General features: G+C 38.4%; 1 long non-coding RNA gene across 3 annotated transcripts in view; it reads left to right on the forward strand.

Moving 5' to 3' along the window:
- LOC124900962 (uncharacterized) overlaps nucleotides 1-21,610 on the forward strand; it is a 109,210-nt gene that overhangs the window by 69,944 nt on the left and 17,656 nt on the right. The window contains exons 1-2 of one of the 3 annotated variants that reach the window (XR_007058732.1): nucleotides 12,227-12,997; nucleotides 15,799-15,970. This is a non-coding gene — a long non-coding RNA (uncharacterized LOC124900962). Of the gene's footprint in view, nucleotides 1-12,226; nucleotides 12,998-15,798; nucleotides 15,971-19,840; nucleotides 20,066-21,610 lie in introns of those variants that run through there. The other 2 variants (XR_007058733.1, XR_007058734.1) reach the window with 2 other exon arrangements.

The raw sequence follows: 21,610 nt of genomic DNA on the forward strand, positions 1-21,610 counted from the left end.
TACTCTTTCCTACTCTGATTATAGGGCTCAATTTTTTTTTACTGTGAACTCAAGGCAAAAGGAACGTGTACACTATAATGTGGTAAGTGCTGAACTACAGAGTGCCATAGAGAACAGAGAAGATTTCCACTATCAAGAAAAGCTTCTCAGGGGAGGTGACTTTTGAACTGTATCTTTAAAAAAAAAAAAAACAAGAATTTGTCAAATGGACAATATGAGGGGAAGGGATAGAGACATTCTGGGCAAAGCCGTGAAAGAGAATGAGGCAGTCTACAGATGACAAGCAGTTTTCTGAGAATGGAGCACAGCATGCACCCTCTTACCCTTGTCTGGATTTGACCACTGAATTAAGACATCTGCCAGCTGCAGTTCTGATGAGCTGAACTTTCTATTGGAATTCTTTCTGGCCTGAGCTTGCCTATTGCTGTATAAGCTCTGGTGTGTCAGGGAGATTAGGCCAGATATCCTTTCTGTTATTCCAGAATGCAGTGTAGCTCAGTGGTGAAGATTTCTATGCTTGTTCAATAAGAATTTATTGAGCACCATGATAGACACTATAGATGGATATCCAACAGCCACGTCCTCTTCCTCAAGAGAACCCCTGTTTTTTTCAGATGTTGAGTGGAAATAGCCGCCAAGGAAGGTACCTTAGCCAAAGCCAATAATTATAATTCCATTTGCTTTTGCCAGTGTTTGGTTTAGGGGAGGCCATAAGATTGAATTTGTCAATGAAATACAAGGGAAGACTGCTGGGGATATTGAGGGAAATATTTTTTCCATGATATAAAGAAAAAGAAAAAGAAGAAGAAGGAAAACATATGGGAAGGATTTCACCCAAAATTTGTCTAGTCTTCAAATGAGGTTGTGTGAGAATGTGATGCTTCAGATGGTGTAGCCATCACGCAATGTTATGAGAGATATGTGCTGAGGACACTGAGGCAGAATGATGGGTAGTTTCTTTCTAGTTATTCGTGAGAATGTTAAACCACTAAAACCATCTTGAAGTCACTTACCTCTGGAAATGTAATGTGAGATCATAAACACTTATTGTAAGATATCCTGTTACTTGCAGTCAAAATCATTCTGAGGCAAGCATTTGCTGTATTTAAGACATTGAACTAAGTACTGGAGATTCAGTAGTAAGTAATACAGATATAGATCCTACCTGCATGTAGCTATAGTCTTTGGGTCTGACAGTAGGTTCAAATTCAAGCTTTGATGCTTTTGGACTTAAGACCTTGGGGAAGTTATTTAATCTCTCTGAGCCTGTTTCATCATTTTCAAAACAGGGATGAATATTCCCTGAATATTCAGATCTATTCCCTCATAGATCTGTAGTGAATATAAAATGAAATAACACAGTGTTTAGCACAAAGCAATATCTCAATAACTAATAAGTGTGAGATGTGCTGGTGGTAGAAATAGGAATAGAAAGAGAAGGATGGCACAAAAGTCATTATCTTAAAGAAAGAATACCCAGGATTTTGGTAAACTGTTAGTTATAAAAATATTTGAGAGCTTTGTTTTCTTTCACATCATTATAGGAGTTAAAGTATTCTGATATCTTCTTTGATTTATAGCTTATTGAGAAATGTATTGCTTAATTTTCAAATATGCAAAGAATTTCAAGTTATCTTTGTGCTATTGATTCTGTGGTCAGAGAATATCCTTTGTATTATTTTAATCCTTTGAAATTTTTATGTATTTTAAGTTCAACATACGGTCAGTTTTGACAAATGTTCTCTATATACTTGAAAAGAATGTATCCTAGAGTTTTTTAGCTCTATATACATTCTATATGTGTCCATTAGGTCAAGTCAGTTAATCATATTTTTTAAATCTTCTATATCTTTACTGACATTTTTGGTCAGCTAGACCAAATCATAGATGATTTGTTGAGATAAGTATATTAAAATATCCTCTTGAGTTCCCTTTAAATTAAATATTAAAATTTCCTTTATGGTTACCCTTTTTATTCTTTCTCTTTTCATTCCTCCTAATTTTTACTTTTTATATTTTGAGGCTCTGTTAATTGCTTTTGCACTTACAATTGTTTTCTCATGGAGTAACCCTTTTAACAATGAAATGTCCTTTTTCTAACCTCTGGAAATGTTTTAGAAGATTCTACTTCATTTGCTTTCAATGTAACTCCATTTTGTATTTGTTAAGGTGTGCATGGTATATCTTTTATCCACAAACTTTTGTTTTCAATTTATCGATATCATTATATTTCAGGTATATTCCTTATAAGCAATGTACAAATTATTTTTAAAACCTAGTTTGAGAATCTTTTTCATTTGAGCATTTAGTCCTAGATTTTCATGTCATTCATGTATATACATTTTTTAAAACTATGATTTTAATATTTGTTTTCTATTTCTCCAACATGTTCTGTGTTCCTTTTTCTTTTCTTTCTTGCCTTTTTGGATTAATGATTGCTTATTATTCACTTTTTCCTATTACCTTGTTAGTTAGCTTTCAGAAATGATTCTTTCAGTCGTTACTCTAAAGATTATAACATACACCCTTGACTTATTAAAGCCTGATATAAATTAATCCTTTATCACTTCCTGTACAATATGAGAACCTTGGAACACTTTAACTTCATGTAGGCACCTTCTGCCTTTTGTGCTAGTGTTTCCATGTGTTTTAATACCAGATATAGTTTAAATCCTACAATGTGTGATTTGTTATTTTATAATACATTGATTTTATGTATCAGTATATTTAGATTTGTCTACATATTTACCCTTTCTGCTGCTCTTTATTTCCTCCTGTTATCTTCATGCTTCCAACTGGAAAAATTTTCTCTCTCCCTGAAGAACTTTCCTTAAAACTTCCTGTAGAAGGGGTCAGACCATGACAGATTCTACTTTTTTTTTCTCATGAAAATCTAATTATTCACTTTTACTTTCAAAGAATTTTTGCTGGGTATGGAATTCTTGATTGTACTTATTTTCTCTTACAGCTTTGAAGATGTCATTATATTGCTTTTGGTTTCTGCTATTTCTAAGAAGTCATCTGTCATATTGTTGCACCTTTGAAAGTAATCTGTGATTTTTCTCTGGCTGCTTTTTCAGATTTTCTCATTTTCTTTAGTTAACAGCAGTTTTACCAAAATGTAAATTAGTGTGTGCGGTTTATTTTTCGTATTTCTCCTGTGTGAGGTTCATAGCACTTCTTGAACCAATGATATGATGTCTTCTATTAATTCTGGAAAATTTTTACTTCAAATATTTTCTTAAGCTTATTCTCTCTCTTTTCTAACAGATAATTATTTTACATTTGTGGGATTTTTAACATCACGTCTTATATGTCTCTTATACTTGTTTCTGTATTTCCATTCTGTCTTCTCTCTGTCCTTCAGCCTGGATATTTTCTTCTGACTCATCTTCCAATTCACTAAACCTCTATTCAACTCTGTGCAACCTGTTGTTAAACCTCTCTTTAAGCTCAGAGTTTCAGTTATTGTATTTTAATTTGAAGATTTTCAGATTTTTTATTATTACAGTTTCCCATAAAACAATTTATCTGCTGGAGTTTCCCATCATATTTTCTAATTATTGAATATATGAATCATGGCTATTTTAACTTCTGTTTCTTGTACCAGCAAGCAATGTCTTTTAATTCTTAATTTTTGTAGGTACATAGTAGGTGTATATATTTATGGGATACATGAGATGTCTTGATACAGGCATGCAGTGCATAACAATTACACCATGGAGAATGGGGTATTCATCCTCTGAAGCATTTATCCTTTGTGTTACAAATGATCCAGTTAGTCTCTTTTTGTTATTTAAAAATGTACAATTAAATTATTGACTATAGACACCCTGTCGTGCTATCAAATAGTAGGTCTTATTTATTTTTTCTAATTTTTTTGTAGTCATTAACCATTTACTCTCCTTCCCACACCCACTCCCACTACCTTTCCCAGCCTCTGGTAACCATTCTTCTCTATGAACTCTATGTCCACGAGTTCAATTGTTTTGATTTTTAGACCCCACAAATAAGTGAGAGCATTCAATGTTTTCTTTCTGTGCCTGGCTTATTGCATTTAATATGATGATCTCCAGTTCTGTCCATGTTGTTTCAAATGACAGGATCTCACTCTTTTCTATGGCTGAATAGTACTCTATTGTGTATCTGTACCACATTTTCTTTAGCCATTCATCAGTTGATGGACACTTAGGTTGCTTCCAAATCTTGCTGTTGTGAACAGTGCTGCAACAAACATGGGAGTGCAGATATCTCTTCAATATACTGATTTCCTTTCTTTTGGGTGTATATCCAGCAGTGGGATTGCTAGATCATATAGTAGCTCTATTTTTTAGCTTTTTGAAGAACTCCAAACTGCTCTCCATAGTTGTTATACTAATTTACATTCTCACCGACAGTGTACGAGGGTTCCCTTTTCTCCACATCCTCACCAGCGTTTGTTGTTGCCTGTCTTTTGGATATAAGCCATTTTAACTAGGGTGGGAAGATATCTTATTGTAGTTTTGATTTACATTTCTCTGATAATCAATGATGTTAACTCCTTTTCATGTGCCTGTTTGCCATTTGTATATCTTCAGAAAAGTCTATTCAAATCTTTTGCCCATTTTTTGATTGGATTATTATTATTATTTTTTTTTTTTGCTGTAGAGTTGTTTGAGTTCCTTATATATTCTGGTTATTAATCCCTTGTCAGATGGGTAGTTTGCCAATATTTTCTCCCATTCTATGGGTTGTCTCTTCCCTTTGTTGACTGTATCCTTTGCTGTGCAGAAGCTTTTTAACTTGATGTGATCCCATTAGTCCATTTTTTGCTGTGGTTGCCTGTGCTTTTCAGATATTACTCAAGAAATTTTTGCCCAGGCCAATGCCCTGTTGATTTTTCTCAAAAATTTCTTGTAGTAGTTTCAAAGTTTGAAGGCTTAGACTTAAGTTTTTCATCTATTTTGATTTGATTCTTGTATATGGCAAGGGATAGGGGTCTAGTTTCCTTCTTCTGCATAGGGATATCCAGTTTTCCCAACACTGTTTGTTGAAGAGACTGTTCTTTTCACAGTGTATGTTTTTGGCACCTTTGTTGAAAATGAGTTCATTGTAGATGGTTTTGTTTTTTGGGTTCTCTGTTCTGTTCCATTCATCTATGTGTCTGTTTTTATGCTAGTACCGTGCTCTTCTGGTTACTATAACTGTATAGTATAATTTGAAGTCAGGTAATATGATTCCTCTCCAGTTTTGTTCTTTTTGCTTAGGATAGCTTTGGCAACTTTGGGTCTTTTGGGTTCCATATAAATTTTAAGGTTATTTGTTCTATTTCTGTGATGAATGTTATTGGTATTTTGATAGAGATTGCATTGAATCTGTAAATTGCTTTGGGTAGTGCAGGCATTTTAACAATATTGATCCTTCCAGTTCATGAACATGGAATATCCTTCCATTTTTTGGTGTCCTCTTCAATTTCTTGCAGCAATGTTTTATAGTTTAGATTATAGAAATCTTTCACTTCTTTGGTTAAGTTTATTCCTAGGTATTTTATTGTAGCTATTGTACATGGGATTACTTGCTTAATTTCTTTTTCTGTTTGTTAACTGTTGGAATATAAAAATGCTACTGATTTTTATATGTTGCTTTTGTATCCTGCAACTTTACTAAATTTGTCTATCAGTTCTAATAGTTTTTTGGTAGCATCATTATGTTTTTCTAAATGTAAGATCATATCACCTGCAAACAAGGATATTTTGACTTCTTTTTTTCCAATTTGGATGCCCTTTATTTCTTTCTCTCATCTGATTGTGCTAGCTAGGACTTCCAGTACTGTGTTGAATAACAGTGGTGAAAGTGGGCATCCTTGTCATGTTCCAGATGTTAGAGGAAAGGCTTTCAGTTTTTCCCCATTAAGTATGATACTAGCTGTAGGTCTGTCATATATGGCTTTTATTATGTTAAGGTATGTTTCTCCCGTATCCAGTTTTTTGAAGGTTTTTATCATGAAGGGATGTTAAATTTTATCAAATGCTTTTTCAGCACTAACTGAAATGATCATATGGTTCTTGTCCTTTATTCTATTGATAAGATGAATCCCATTGATTGATTTATGTATGTTGAACCATCCTTGTGTTCCAGGGATAAATCCAACTTGGTCATGATGAATGACCTTTTTAATGTATTATCAAATAAAGTTTGCTGGCATTTTGTTGAGGATTTTTGTGTGCATCGGAAATATTGGCCTATAGATTTCTTTTTGTTGTTGTTGTGTCTTTGTCTTGTTTTGGTATCAGTGGAATACTGGCCTCCTAGAATGAGTTTGAAAATATTCCCTCCTTCTCTATTTTTTGGAATAGTTTGAGTAGGATTGTTCTTCTTTAACCCTTTCCCCATTTTCCCTGAGAATACTTGCCAGCAGCACTTGTGGCTGCAGCACTTACCCCGAGATAACTTTGCCATGAAATATCTCACTTTTACTATGATTTTCATATTGCTTTAGTATACCTACTTTGGAAACAAAAGACATCACCCTATTTATACCATTCTGTTTTTAGTAATGATATTTTTTATTAACAAAATATAGTAATTCTCAATCGCTGAAATGTCATATCCTAGAAAATGTAGCATTCCTCTGTGTGACATTAACATTGTTCTCAAATACTTGGCTGAAGATTGATTTGATGAATCCAATTTTTCCTAAATATATTATTCTGATGATCCTGATGTTAGTTCTCTTTAGAAATAACTCCAAGAACAGTTTTCATATTTTATTTTCATATTGAAAATAAAAATGAAGCACACCTATAGGATCTAGAAAATAGCCTCGAAAGGGCGAATCTAAGACTTATTGCCCTTAAAGCAGAGATACAGAAATAGATGGGGGTAGAAAGTTTATTCAAAGGTATAATATCAGAGAACTTCCCAAACCTAGAGAAAGATATCAATATCTGAGTACAAGAAGGCTATAGAACACCAACCCTGTCATGCACCTTAGAGACCAAGCAATTTAACCCAAAGAAGACTACCTCAAGGCATTTAATAATCAAACTTCCAAAGATCAAGAATAAAGAAAGGATCCTAAAAATAGCAAGAAGAAAGAAACAAATAACATAAAATAGAGCTCCAATACATCTGGCTTTTCAGCAGAAACCCTTTAGGCCAGGAAAGAGCAGGAAGAAATATTTAAAGTGCTGAAGGAAAAAAACTTTTACCCTAGAATAATATATCTGGTGAAAATATCCTTCAAACATGAAGGAGAAATAAAGTCTTTCCCAGACAAACAAAAGCTTTCATATTGAAAATCAGTCAGATTTGCTTCAGCCTCAAAGAGTGTATTTATGTAAAATTAAATTACTGTTGGCAGCGAGCTGTGTTTTTTTTTTTTTCTAAACATTAAAGGGGTTAAATGTTTGGTAGAATTCAGCAGTAACACCATCAGGTCCCAGGCTTTTCTTTACTAGGAGACTTTATTACAGCTTCTATCTTATTACTTATTATTGGTCTGTTCACATTTTGGGTTGATTCTTGGTTCATTCTTGGTATGTTGTATGTATCTAGGAATTTGTCAGTTTTCCAATTTATTGGCATATAGTTGCTCTTAGAAGCCACTAATGAGCCTTTGAATTTCTGAAGTATCAGCTGTAATGTCTCCTTTCTCATCCCTGATTTTATTTATTTGAATCTTCTCACTTTTTCTCTTAGTCTGGCTAAATTTTATCAATTTTCTTTGACTTTTCAAAAAAACAACTTTTTGTTTCATTGATCTTTTATATTGTTTTCTATATTTCATTTGTTTCTGCTCTGAACTTTCTTTCTTTCTTTCACTAATTTTGAGTTTGATTGCTCCTGCGTTTCTAGTTCTTCAAAATGCACCATTAGATTGTTTATTTGAAATTTTTCTTCTCTTTTGATGTTGGCACTTATAGCTGTAAACTTCCCTCTTAGTACTGCTTTTGCTGTATCCCGTATGTTTTGGTATGTTGTGTTTCCATTATCATTTGTTTCATGAAAATTTTCAATTTTCTTTTTAATTTCTTCATTAACCCACTGGTTATTCAGGAGCATATTGTTCAATTTCCATTCATCTGTATAGTTTCCAAAATTCCTCTTGTTATTGATTTCTAGTTTTATTTCATTGTAGTCAGAGAAGATGTTTCATATAATTTCAATTTTCTGGAATGTTTTAAGGCTTGTTCTGTGACCTAACATATGGTCTGTCCTTGAGAATGATCCATGTGCTAAGGAAAAGAATGTGTATTTTGTAGTTCTTGGATGAAATTCTCTCTAAATACTTGTTAGATCCATTTGGTCTATAGTGCAGAGTAAATCCAATGTTTCTTTGTTGATTTTCTGACTGAAGATCTGTCTAATGCTGAAAGTGGGGTGTTGAAGTCTCCAGCTATTATTGTATTATAGTCTCTCTCTCTCTCTCTTTAGCTCTAATGATATTTGCTTGATATACCTGGGTGCTCCAGTGTTGGGTACATATATAAAGTTGTTATATCCTCTTGCTGAATTGACCCCTTTATCATTATATAGTGACTGTCTTTGTCTTTTCTTAAAGTTTTTCTCTGAAATCTATTTTGTCTGACGTAAGTATAGCAACTCCTGCTCTTTTTTAGTTTCCATGGACATGAATATCTTTTTCCATCCCTTTTATTTTCATTCTGTGTGTGGCTTTATAGAGGAAATATGTTTCTTGTAGCAACAGATCATTGGGTCTTGTTTTTGCATCCATTCAGCCACCCTATGTCTTTTGATTGGAGAGGTTAGTCCATTTACTTTCAATGTTATTATTCAGACGTAAGAACTTACTCCTGCCATTTTGTTATTTGTTTTCTGGTTCTTTTGTGGTCTTACCTGCCTTTTTTCTTCGCTTAGTGTCTTCCTTTTAGTGAAGGTGATTTTTCTCTGGTGAAATGATTTAGTTTCTTACTTTTTATTTTTTGTGCATGTATTGTATGTTTTTTGGTTTGAGGTTATCTTGAGGCTTGCAAATACTATATTATAACCCATTATTTTAAGCTTATAACAACTTAATACTGTTTGCATAACAAACAAATAAGCAAAAAGAAAACTAATGAAAACTCTATGCTTTAACTCTGTCTCCCTGTTTTTTAACTTTTTGTTGTTTCTATTGCTATCTTATTGTACTGTGTCTTAAAAGTTGTTGTAGTTTTTCATGTGTTTTTTGGCTGCATAAATGTCTTCTTTTGAGAAGTGTCTGTTCATGTCCTTCGCCCACTTTTTGATGGGGTTGTTTGTTTTTTTCTTGTAAATTTGTTTGAGTTCATTGTAGATTCTGGATATTAGCCCTTTGTCAGATGAGTAGGTTGCGAAAATTTTCTCCCATGTTGTAGGTTGCCTGTTCACTCTGATGGTAGTTTCTTTTGCTGTGCAGAAGCTCTTTAGTTTAATTAGATCCCATTTGTCAATTTTGGCTTTTGTTGCCATTGCTTTTGGTGTTTTGGACATGAAGTCCTTGCCCACGCCTATGTCCTGAATGGTAATGCCTAGGTTTTCTTCTAGGGTTTTTATGGTTTTAGGTCTAACGTTTAAATCTTTAATCCATCTTGAATTGATTTTTGAAAAAATGCTCATCATCACTGGACATCAGAGAAATGCAAATCAAAACCACTATGAGATATCATCTCACACCAGTTAGAATGGCAATCATTAAAAAGTCAGGAAACAACAGGTGCTGGAGAGGATGTGGAGAAATAGGAACACTTTTACACTGTTGGTGGGACTGTCAACTAGTTCAACCATTGTGGAAGTCAGTGTGGCGATTCCTCAGGGATCTAGAACTAGAAATACCATTTGACCCAGCCATCCCATTACTGGGTATATACCCAAAGGACTATAAATCATGCTGCTATAAAGACACATGCACACGTATGTTTATTGCGGCATTATTCACAATAGCAAAGACTTGGAACCAACCCAAATGTCCAACAATGATAGACTGGATTAAGAAAATGTGGCACATATACACCATGGAATACTATGCAGCCATATAAAATGATGAGTTCATGTCCTTTGTAGGGACATGGATGAAATTGGAAACCATCATTCTCAGTAAACTATCGCAAGAACAAAAAACCAAACACCGCATATTCTCACGCATAGGTGGGAATTGAACAATGAGATCACATGGACACAGGAAGGGGAATATCACACTCTGGGGACTGTGGTGGGGTCGGGGGAGGGGGGAGGGATAGCATTGGGAGATATACCTAATGCTAGATGACACGTTAGTGGGTGCAGCGCACCAGCATGGCACATGTATACATATGTAACTAACCTGCACAATGTGCACATGTACCCTAAAACTTAAAGTATTAAAAAAAAAAAAAAAATTAAAAAAAAAAAAAAAAAAGTTGTTGTAGTTATTGATTTGCCAGTTCATCATTTAGTGTTTCTACTTAGGATAAGAGTAGTTTACATGCCACAGTTACAGTGTTATAGTATTCTGTGTTTTTCAGTGTACTTACTACTACCAAGTGAGTTTTGTACTTTCAGGTGATTTCTTGTTGCTCATTAATGTCCTTTTCTTTCTGATTGAAATACTCCTTTTAGCATTTCTTATATGATAGGTCTGGTAATGATAAAAACCCTCAGCTTTTGTTTGTCTGCGAAAGACTTTATTTCTCCTTCATGTTTGAAGGATATTTTCACCAGATATACTATTCTAGGGTAAAAAGTTTTTTTCCTTCAGCACTTTAAATATTTCTTCCCACCCTTTCCTGGCCTAAAGGGTTTCTGCTGAAAAGTCAGATGTATTGGAGCTCTATTTTATGTTATTTGTTTCTTTCTTCTTGCTATTTTTAGGATCCTTTCTTTATTCTTGATCTTTGGAAGTTTGATTATTAAATGCCTTGAGGTAGTCTTCTTTGGGTTAAATTGCTTGGTCTCTAAGGTGCATGACAGGTTTGGTGTTCTATAGCCTTCTTGTACTCAGATATTGATATTTTTCTCTAGGTTTGGGAAGTTCTCTGATATTATACCTTTGAATAAACTTTCTACCCCCATCTCTTTCTCTACCTCTGCTTTAAGGGCAATAAGTCTTAGATTTGCCCTTTCGCAGCTATTTTCTAGATCCTATAGGTGTGCTTCATTTTTTTTTAATTCTTTTTTCTTTTGTTTTCTCTGACTGTATTTTCAAATTGCCTGTCTTCAAGTTTGCTAATTCTTTCTTCTTGATCAATTCTGCCATTAAAAGGCTCTGATACATTCTTCAGTATGCCGGTTTCATTTTTCAGCTCCAGGACTTCTGCTTCATTCTTTTTTAATTATTTCAATCTCTTTGTTAAATTTCTTTAATATAATTTGGAATTCCTTCCCTGCATTATCTTGAATTTCTTTGAGTTTCCTCAAGACAGCTATTTTGAATTCTCTGTCTGAAAGGTCAGATATCTCTTTTTCTCCAGGATTGGTTCTTGGTGCTTTATTTAGTTTACTTGATGAAGTCATGATTTCTGGGATTGTGTTGATACTTGTAGATGTTAATCTGTGTCTGGGCATTGAAGGGTTAGGTATTTATTGTAGTCTTTTCAGTCTGGGCTTGTGTGTACCCATCCTTCTTGGGAGGGCTTTCTAGATATTTGAAAGTACTTGGGTGTTGTGATCTAAACTGTATCTGTTTTAGGGGGCACTCCAAACCTAGTAATGCTGTGGTCCTGCAGACTCATACAGCTATTGTCTTGATGATTTTGGACAAGATCTGGGAGAATTGTCTGGATTACCAGGCAGAGACTCTCATTCTCTTCCCGTACTTTCTCCCAAACAAACAGAGTCTTTCTCTGTTCTGAGCCACCTGGAGCTGGGGGTGGAGTGACACAAGCACCCCTATGGCCACCACCACAGGGCGAGACCTGAAGCCAGCACAGTACTGGGTCTCACCCAAGGCCTGCTTTAACCACTTCCTGGCTGCTGTCTGTGTCCCCTCAAGGCCCTGGGGCTTGGTCCATAAATGCTGTCCAAGGGCCAAATCCTGAAATCAGGGTCCCCAAAAGCCCACTTGTCTGTCACCTTAGGTACCAAGCTGGTCTCTAAGGTGCATGACAGAGTCCTCTTTACTTTTCCCTCTGCTTTTCTCAAGCAGGAGTCTTGCCCTGTAACCACCACAGGCGGGAATGTGCCAAGTCTCACCTGAAGCCAATAAGTCTGAGTCTCACCCAAGGCCCTTGATGTAGTATCTGGGTATCGCTGCTGGTTATTCAGGGCCCAAAGGCTCTTTAGCTGGCAGGTGATGAATGTTACCAGGACTGGGTCCTTCCCTTAAAGGCAGCAGGTTCCCTTCTGGCCCAAGGGTGTGTCTAGGAAAGTCATCCAGGAACTAGGGCTTGGAATGGGGGCCTCACAACTCTGAGGGCTGTCCTGTCCCTGTCCTGCTGGGACTGAGGTGGTATCCAGGAGGCAAGACTATGCGCTTCCCACTCTACCCTCTCCACTCCTAAAGGGGAGGGAGAGATCTCTTTTGGACCATGAACTGTGAAGCCTGGGGTTAGGTTAGGAAAGGGTTGATGCCAGCACTCCCTTAGCTACCCCAGCTGGTGTCTCAATAGGTCACATGTCCTCTGCACCCAAACAAGTCCTCTGGCTTTGGGCCCAGTTCAGCACTGGGACTTGCCTAGGAGTTACAGTGCTTGTGTCCTAGACTGCCTTTTGAGTTTATTTAGAGCCCCATAGCACTTCAACCTGCAGTGGCAAGCCTCTCGGGAACTCAAATTCTGACCATTGGGATCAGTGGTTCCCCTCTGGCTAGGGCTGGTTTAAATACTCCCTCTGTAGGCAGGTGTCAGCTGAGTGCGGTCCGGTTTTCCTTTCTGCTATAACAGGAAAGCACACTGAGTTCAATGCCTCACAATTGCTGGCTCTCCCTCTCTCCAAAGCACAGAAATGCTCTTTGCACCACACCATCACTGCCAGGGGATGGAGGAGGGGTTGCACTGGTGATTCAAGACTGTCCTACTTCTTCAGTGCCTCCTTCAGTGATATGAAGCCAAAACCAGACCAGGTATTGAGTGCTCACCTGATTTTTGGTTCTTATAAAGGTGCTTTTTTGTGTGTAGATAGTTGTTAAATTGGTGTTGCAGGGAGGCACAATTGGTGGAGTCTTCTCTTCCACCGTCTAGCTCTGCCTCCCAGCAGCAACATGTTGATCCATGTGGGGCTGTTTCCATTGTCCATTTCTTCCTGGGATTTTTTTATTTTTTATTTTTTGGCCAGATCATCTTGTTTCTTGGTATGCAGATTATTTATTTATACCAAGAATTGAAATGATCTGAGCACTATCTTTGTGAGTGTTAGTCTATTTCCAGTTCAACTCTACTTTTAGAGTTAAGACCTTTGGTGGTATCAGCCAAAATCAAGGGATCCTCTTAGGTGATCCCTACAGACCCTGTCCCTAGAATTTGCTCAGCTCTCAACCTCTTGTCCACCACTTAGCTACACTGAATGTTGGGGTCATTCCTTTGACCTTGCCTTCTCTCTGAGATTTTTGTGCTCCCAAGTCCTTGTTACTTTAGTAGCTCTCTATTCCCTTCCAACAGATGTCTTATATTTTGTTGAACTTCATAATTACTCTCAGTAAAAAAAACTGGTCTGGAACAAGTTAGTCTACCATTACCAGAAAATTTAAATTACTATGGCTTAAAGAAAATACAATATATTATGTTCTGGATGTATAGTCATTTACTGTAATTTTCATAGCTTGCCTACCTAAGTTGATTTACAGCAAATAGAGACCTACTTTTTTTGGCCATAAAATATAAAGTTATGACAAGAGTGATAATGCTGACATAAAAGTAACTTTTAGATTTTATTTTGAAATGTCAGCTACATAAACAAATATTTGCCAGAAAATAAGTGCTCTGAAATACAGCCTTGCTCTAATTTGCACCATGTCGACTGACTTTTTTATAACAAACAGAAATTATTCTGATAAAAATTAAGTACTTCATATCATAATTTCCAGGAAAGAAAAGCCATTCCAGCAACATGGACTGGCTTGCTGCCATTCCTGCTGCTGCCTCACCTTTCACTGTAATAGTGCTGAGAGCAACAGGATACTTGGTTTTGGATACTTTGCCATTAGCAATACAGTGTTTGACAACAGCAATACAATATTTGCTCAGCTCTAACCTTTCTATATCCTCTTTCTTCTTCTGATATTGTAATAGTGGTCACTAATATAGGAATCTGTAGCCACCAGAGATGTCCCCGAGCTTGTTATACTCTGTCCTCTTTTCCTAAACCACCCTTTCTCTTGCTTACTCATCCTTCAATGTTTAGATCAAGCATCTTCTCTGTGAAAATTTTTCTGGCTCCATGTTCTCCAGAATGGAGTTAATCACATCCTCATCTAGGCTGGAACTATATTTTGAGTGTATTTCTATTATTATACATATCCTATTTCCTGATAAATATATGTTTGCATTTGTTTTTTTACACCAAGATATGAGTACACTTTGCCTAGTACATGGTGCTTAGTAAACCAGGAATAGAAGGAAGAAAGGAAATGAAACAAGAAAGAATAGAAGAAAGGAGGCAAGGAAGGAGGAAGGGAAAAAAGGAAAAAATATTATGGTTTCTTTTTCCTTTTTTTGCTCAATGGGACCATGACGAAATAACCAACTTGTGGTATGTTTGGATCCTGGAAATTATGCCCCAAGTTGGGAAAATGTCTGCTGTTTCCATGGTTAAGAAACCAAATGGAAGAAATGCATTTGACTTTTTTTTTGAAAAATTGTTTGGGACAGGTAAATTAGATGACTTTAAGTAAGTAGTTGACACCTGGAATAAGTAGAAAGAATTAACTGCTACTGACCTAAGAGGGAAAGATGATCTTAATAATGAGATTATGATCATGAAATTGGAAGGCCTCTGAAATCAGACAAGCCTGCTGGAATCTGAGCTTCACCCTTTGCCAGCTCTATGACTTTGGGCAACTTACCATCTACAGGCTTCTGTTTCCACATTACATGAAATGAGCATAAAAATACTTACCTTATAGTTGTTATATAGTCTACATTAAATGAGATAACCACACCTAGCTCAATGCTAGGCCCAGGTCATTTGGATGTTTAGATATTAGCTTCTTTTTCCATGCATAGCAAGTACTGACTTAAATATCTATCTATCTATCTATCTATCTATCTATCTATCTATCTATCTAACTGTCTGTCTATCTATATTTTAGAACATATATATGTGTGTGTGTGTGTGTGTGTGTGTGTGTGTGTGTGTGTATTCTCCCCAGGGATCTGGGGAGGAACCATGATGGAAGTGGGACACTAGATCAGGGTAAGTGGAATTGGCCTGGGAGGTAAGTAGGAAATGAGTTGTGAAAGGGTTTCTACCAGCTCTCACATATTCTGATTTATAATTAGTCTGTTGGGATTTTGTTTGGGATAAGTCAACTCTCCATACAGTGAAGATTCCAGGGAAAACTGGTAAAATACAGTTTCTCATCCACGTAATTTGAGGCCTGTAGATTATAGGCACCTCTGCAAGATGACAGGAAGACTCGCTGAGGGCAAGGACCTTGTCCAATTTAACATTAAGTCCTAAGTGTGGAGCAGAGACTGGCACAGAGGTGGTCAGTGAGTTTCACTGGAAGAACAAATTCATGAAACCACACTTAAGACCCTGTCTGAGCCAAACTGCTGAAATTTACATCAACAGCAAAGCCCAGAACTCCTTGTAGAATTTTGCTCTAATGTCATCTTTTTAAAACCTGCATAAACATCAAGCAAGAAACAAGTGGACTTTATTTTTCTTGACTTTCGTCACATTCCCATTTTCTCTCAATCTTAGGAAACTTTTTCAGCTTTGTGACTGAGAGACAGCCAGCCTTTCAGCTGGGTGAGCTTTCCAGTTGCATGAGAAAGAGCTTCATAAGAAACCACCTACACTCTTCCCATCCAAAAAAATAGAAAAAAAGAAAGAGAAGAATATAAAAAGAATTGCTTCTCCTCCAAAAATACAGGTATTTTTGCTTTCTCTTATGCTGACTTTTTGTGGGTTACTAACTGCATGTTTAAAATTTTGTCATTTTTATGATTTATACAATTCTAGACAAAATACTGTTTAAAATCACACAAAGCATAAAAGATAGTACACAAATACAATGAAAACATAGAGATAGCTGTCCCGTCTGAACTCAAAAGGAGAAACCCCACTGGGAACTGACTACTACAAATAATTTAGTCAGCATTTGGCAGCCCCAGAAAATTACAAACCTGGAAGATAACAAACAATATTATGTGCATTGCATTGCAGAGCATCAGTCATGCTTGATATGAGAAAAAAACCTTTTTAGGAAAAGGAATTAAAATTATGAAATAGAGTTGTGTACATAAGTGGGAACTGTCTAACAACTATTAAGTAAAAATATATTTTTCCTCTTTTGAAGCCCACTTGAAACAAACTTTTTAAACGTCATTTCGAGTTTAGAATTAGGCAGGTATTTTATATTTTAAAGAGTCCTATTTACTTAAATTCCCAAGGCTGACAGAAAATTAAGGCACCCATATTGTTTAGTAGAACATGGCAAAAATTTGGTTTCATGTTTGTTTCAGGTGAGCTATCACGTTCCAAAAAAGTCTGTGTATGGTTTGGGAAGCTGATTCATGGAGACTGGAGTCAACCTGATTCTAGCCTCTGGGCCAAAAAGAATCACGAAAGAAGTGATTACCTCAGTGACCTGATGTGATGTCAGGCTTAGTCTACCACAGTCAGCTGGTGAACAGTCCTTGGACGGTTTCATTAATGGCACAGGAGAGACCTTGTCCACCTCCAGTAACAGAAAGAAATGACCAAGCAAACAGCCCAATAACAGAGCCAGCCTAAATTCTTTTTTTTTTTTTTTTGGTAGTTGCAAGATTTAATAGAGTGAAAACAGAGCTCCCACACAAAGGGAGGGGACCCAAAGAGGGTAGCCATTGCCGGCTCGAATGCCTGGGTTATATCCCGATCATTGTCCCTCCCACTGTGCTCTCAGGTGATAGATGATTGGCTATTTCTTTACCTCCTGTTTTTGCCTAATTAGCAATTTAGTGAGCTCTCTTTACTACCTGATTGGTTGGGTGTGAGCTAAGTTGCAAGCCCCGTGTTTAAATGTGTGCAGTCACCTTCCCAGCTAGGCTTAGGGATTCTTAGTCAGCCTAGGAAATCCAGCTAGTCCTGTCTCTCAGTCCCCACTTTCAACAGGAAAACCCAAGTGCTTTTGGGGAGGTTGGCCGACGACTGCTCTAACTGATTCCTGCTGAATTGGGGCATAGTAGGGGTCGTGCAGTTGAGATTTCCTCGAGAGGAGTGCCTTCAATGTCATTAACATCAGAGCATGGGCTAGCAGGCCGGTCCAGGGTCCACGGTAGATCTTAGTCATGGGCTATATCTGGGGCTCCATTTGAAGAACATTTGTAGTTTTACAGCTTTGATTCTGGAAGAGACAAACTTAACAAGGAGGTTTAAGATAGAGGGATTGAAATGTATGGCCTGCAGTGCAGGGGATTATTTCCTTGGCACACTTCACAGGCCCTGACTATCTGCTTGATAGTTTTGAAAAGGCCCGGTCCAGTAAATAATAATTTGGCCATCTGACGGGTGCTATCAATGTCTAAGTGAAAGGTTTGGTGAAGGGTTTTAAGTAATTTCCATTGCTTAGCTGCAGGCAAAAGTACTTTTCCTCCTTCGGTTGCTAGCCATCCTGAGGGTAGGAAACTATGTCCTCGTCAGGTTCTCCATTCTATTTCTCCTGCTGAGTACTGGGGCTTGGTTTCCTGGAGGGGGTTACCCCATACTAGGGGTCCTTCTATAAGCATTTCTAATGGAGGGTCTTGTCTTGCGGCTCTTTTGGCTTCAATATCTGCTTGGCAGTTCCCTTCTATTTCCCTTTCCTTTCCTTTCTGATGACCCCGGTAGTGTAAGACTGCCAACTCTTTAGGTTTCTGTACAGCCAATAATAATCTCCTAATGGCTTCCTGATGTTTGATAGGTGTTCCCTCGGAAGTTAGGAATTCCCTTTCTCTCCATATTGCTGCGTGGGCATGGAGGACTAGGTAAGCATACTTAGAGTCTGTATATATATTTACCCTTTTTCCTTCTCCTAATTCTAGTGCCTGAGTGAGGGCTATTAGTTCTGCCAGCTGAGCGCTAGTTCCTGGAGTGAGGGGATTACTTTCAAGTATTTCATTAACACTGACCACTGCATACCCCACTTTTCAAAGTCCTTTTTGTACAAAGGAACTTCCATCAGTATACAAGTTGAGGTTGGGATCAGTCAAGGGAACCTCTAGAAGGTCTCCTCAAGCGGCGTAGGTTTGAGCGATTACTTCTTGACAGTTATGTTCTATCTTTTCTTCATTGTCTGGAAGAAATGTGGCTGGGTTAAGAGTTGCACAAGTGCACAGTCGCAGCACTGGCCCTTCAAGTAATAGAGCCTGATATTTAAGTAACCGGTTATCTGACAGCCACAAGTCTCCTTTAACAGTAAATATGCCATTCACATCATGAGATGTCCACACAGTAAGATCTCTTCCCTGTATTATTTTAACTGCTTCAGATACTAAGACTGCTACTGCTGCCACTACCCATAAACAATGAGGCCAACCCTTTGCCACTACATCAATTTCCTTACTCAGGTATGCCACGGGTTGCAAGCTTATCCCTTGGACCTGTGTAAGCACTTCTAGAGCTATTCCTGTTTTTTCTGTGACATATAAAGACTAGGCCTTGGGCTTCTAGGTCTTTAACAATCTTTTGGAGTCCTTGTTTGGCCTCAGGTCTAAGGGGGTACTGCCTTTGGTAGGGAAAGGAGGCAGAATCTTTTAGTTTAACTTGAACAGGACGGGCATTCTTTGCTTATCCATATTGTCCTTCTGTTGCCCAGACTTCAGAAGAATTAATTCCTCCTCAAGCAAGGGACAACAAACGGGTGTTCCTTCTCTTATGTTCAGGTGTATAATGGCCCCTGCTTTTGCTAGAATGTCTCTCCCTAACAAAGGAGTGGGGCTTTCAGACATAATTAGAAAAGCATGTGAGAAGAGTAAAGTTCCCCAGTCACAACTTAGTGGCTGGGAGAAGTATCTAGTGACTGGCTCTCCTAGGACACCTCGGATAGTGACAGATCTGGAGGACAGTTGTCTGGGACAGAAGAGTAAGACTGAGAAGGCCGTGCCAGTGTCCAGGAGATGGTTAACCTCCTGGCACTCAATGTTCAAGCATACCCGGGGCTCTGTGAGGGTGATGGCATGGGCTGGCGCTTGCCCCAGGCACCCTCAGTCCTGCTGCTGGATCATCTGGTTAGTAGCTTCTGACTCAGAGGACCTTCGTCCCCTGGGGCAGTGGGCCTTCCAGTGATTCCCTTGGCATAAGGGGCATGGACGAGGGGGCGGCTTATTTCTATTTGGACAATCTTTTTTAAAGTGTCCTTGTAGACTGCACTGGAAGCAAGCCCTATTAGGTATTTGATTTGCCCAGCTTTTCCATTTTCCAGAGCCTCCAAAGTCTACTTCTCTGAGTGCCATGACTAAAGCAGTGGACTTTTTTTCAATCCCGTTTGTCCCATTCCGCCTGCTCCTCCTGATCTCTATTATAAAAAACCGAGGTTGCCAAGTTCAATAGGGTTTCTAAGTTTTGCTCTGGGCCTAAGTCACACTTTTGAAGCTTTTTTCTAATGTCTGCAGCTGACTGAGTGATAAACTTATCCTTTAAGATTAGTTGGCCTTCAATAGAGTCAGGTGACAGAGAGGTATGCTTCCTCAATGCCTCCCTTAGTCTCTCCAGAAAGGCAGTAGGATTTTCTTCCTTTCCCTGTGTTATAGTGGACATCATTGAATAATTTACAGACTTCTTCCTAGTTTTCCTTAGTCCTTCTAGCATGCAAGTTAGCAAATGTCTGCGGCACCAATCTCCATGTTCTGATCCTGTGTCCCAATGAGGGTCTACACTGGGAACTGCCTGCTGGCCTGTGAAGAATCATTTTCTTTCCTCTGTTGTCATCCTATCATTGACCTGACTGAGATACCAGAGATCGCCAAACTCTCAAGCTGCAGTTACGGCGGCATTTCTCTCATTTGGGGTTAGTGTCTGATCTAGCAGTAACATTATATCTCCATGTCAGATCAAAGGATTGTCCTAACCCTTGTAAAATATCAGTATAGCCATCAGGGTTATCTGAGAATTTACCTGGATCTATTTTAATTTGCTTCAAGTCTGAGAGAGAAAAAGGCACATGCACTCTGGCTGGGCTGAATTCTCCTCCTCCCACCGCTTGGAGGGGGCATAATCGGGGAATATCGGCACTCTTTGGTTCATTGTTTACCCCTTTGTCTATCTCCTTTTGGACCGTTTGGGTTGAAGGGGGGTCCTTATTAGTTGGGGAAGGAGTCAGGGGGATGCCGGAGAAGGGAGGTAGACTCTGAGGGCTTTCTGTAGGGCATAAATCACACTTTTTACATAATTGCGAGTTGTCTCTTAATGAAAAGAAAGTTTGTACATACGGCACTTCACTCCATTTGCCTTCTTTTCTACAAAAGAGGTATAGCTGTAAGATGGTGTTATAATTTATTCTGTCAGGAGGCCAGGTTTCTCCCCCTTGAAGAGGATATCGTGGCCTAGCGGTACTGCAGAAGAATATAAGTAGTTTCTTTCTTAGCGTCTGAGGGTCATATTGGTCCCAATTCTCCAGAATACATCTTAGGGGTGTTTTTGCCTTCGGGGGAACACTTCCCATCGCTTTGGAGGTCCCATCTGGGTCACCAAATGTTACCAGGGGGGTCCTTGCTCCCAGAGCTCCCAAGATGATGGCGGGCTGCTTCCAATATGGCGGTGGGCCACTTCCAAGATGGTGGAAAGCCTTGTGCTCTCTGATCTGGAGTTCTTGGCCTCATGGATTCCAAGGAATGGCATCTTGGGCCATGCAGTGAGTGTTATAGCTCTATTAGAAACCGTGGATCACAGAAGAGAACCATGGAACCCAGTGACTAGTGTTCAGCTCTATTAAGACAAACCCGGGCACTTCGCCATGCAGGAACAATGACAGGCCTTTAGCCCGATTGGGAGCGGCAATGGGTGCCTCACTGGATCAGGAGCACAGCGGACACCCTGCTGGATCCAGAAGGATGGAAGTCAGCGGCGGGTCTGCGATGGCGGCAAACAGCAGTGGTGGATGGCGAGCAAAAACTCAGCTCGAGCCGTAACAAACACAGACCAGAAGAGTGTGCAGTTTCAAGATTTAATAGAGTGAAAACAGAGCTCCCATACAAAGGGAGGGGACTCAAAGAGAGTAGCCCGAGCCAGTCTAAATTCTTAAAGGGATTCAGCATCTGCTGGGTTAGATCAGAGGCCATGGAAAACAGAGGCAGGAGAGAGACCAGGACTAGTCATCCACTAGACCAGGACTTCTCAAGCCTGGCTGAACATTAAAATAACCTGGAGAATTTTAAAACATTCTGATGTCTGGGCCCCAACCCTAGGAAATTTGAATAAATTGGTTTGGGGTGGAGCTTGAGAACAACAGTGTTTTAAAAGCTCTCCAACGTGATTCTAATGGACACCTGGACTTGAGAAACACAACACTAGAGTATCTTGAGGGCACACTTATTCACCACTGCTCATCAAGCAT

Source organism: Homo sapiens, chromosome 5 (genome assembly GCF_000001405.40).
Source record: "Homo sapiens chromosome 5, GRCh38.p14 Primary Assembly".
In the NCBI taxonomy this organism is placed as follows: domain Eukaryota; kingdom Metazoa; phylum Chordata; class Mammalia; order Primates; family Hominidae; genus Homo; species Homo sapiens.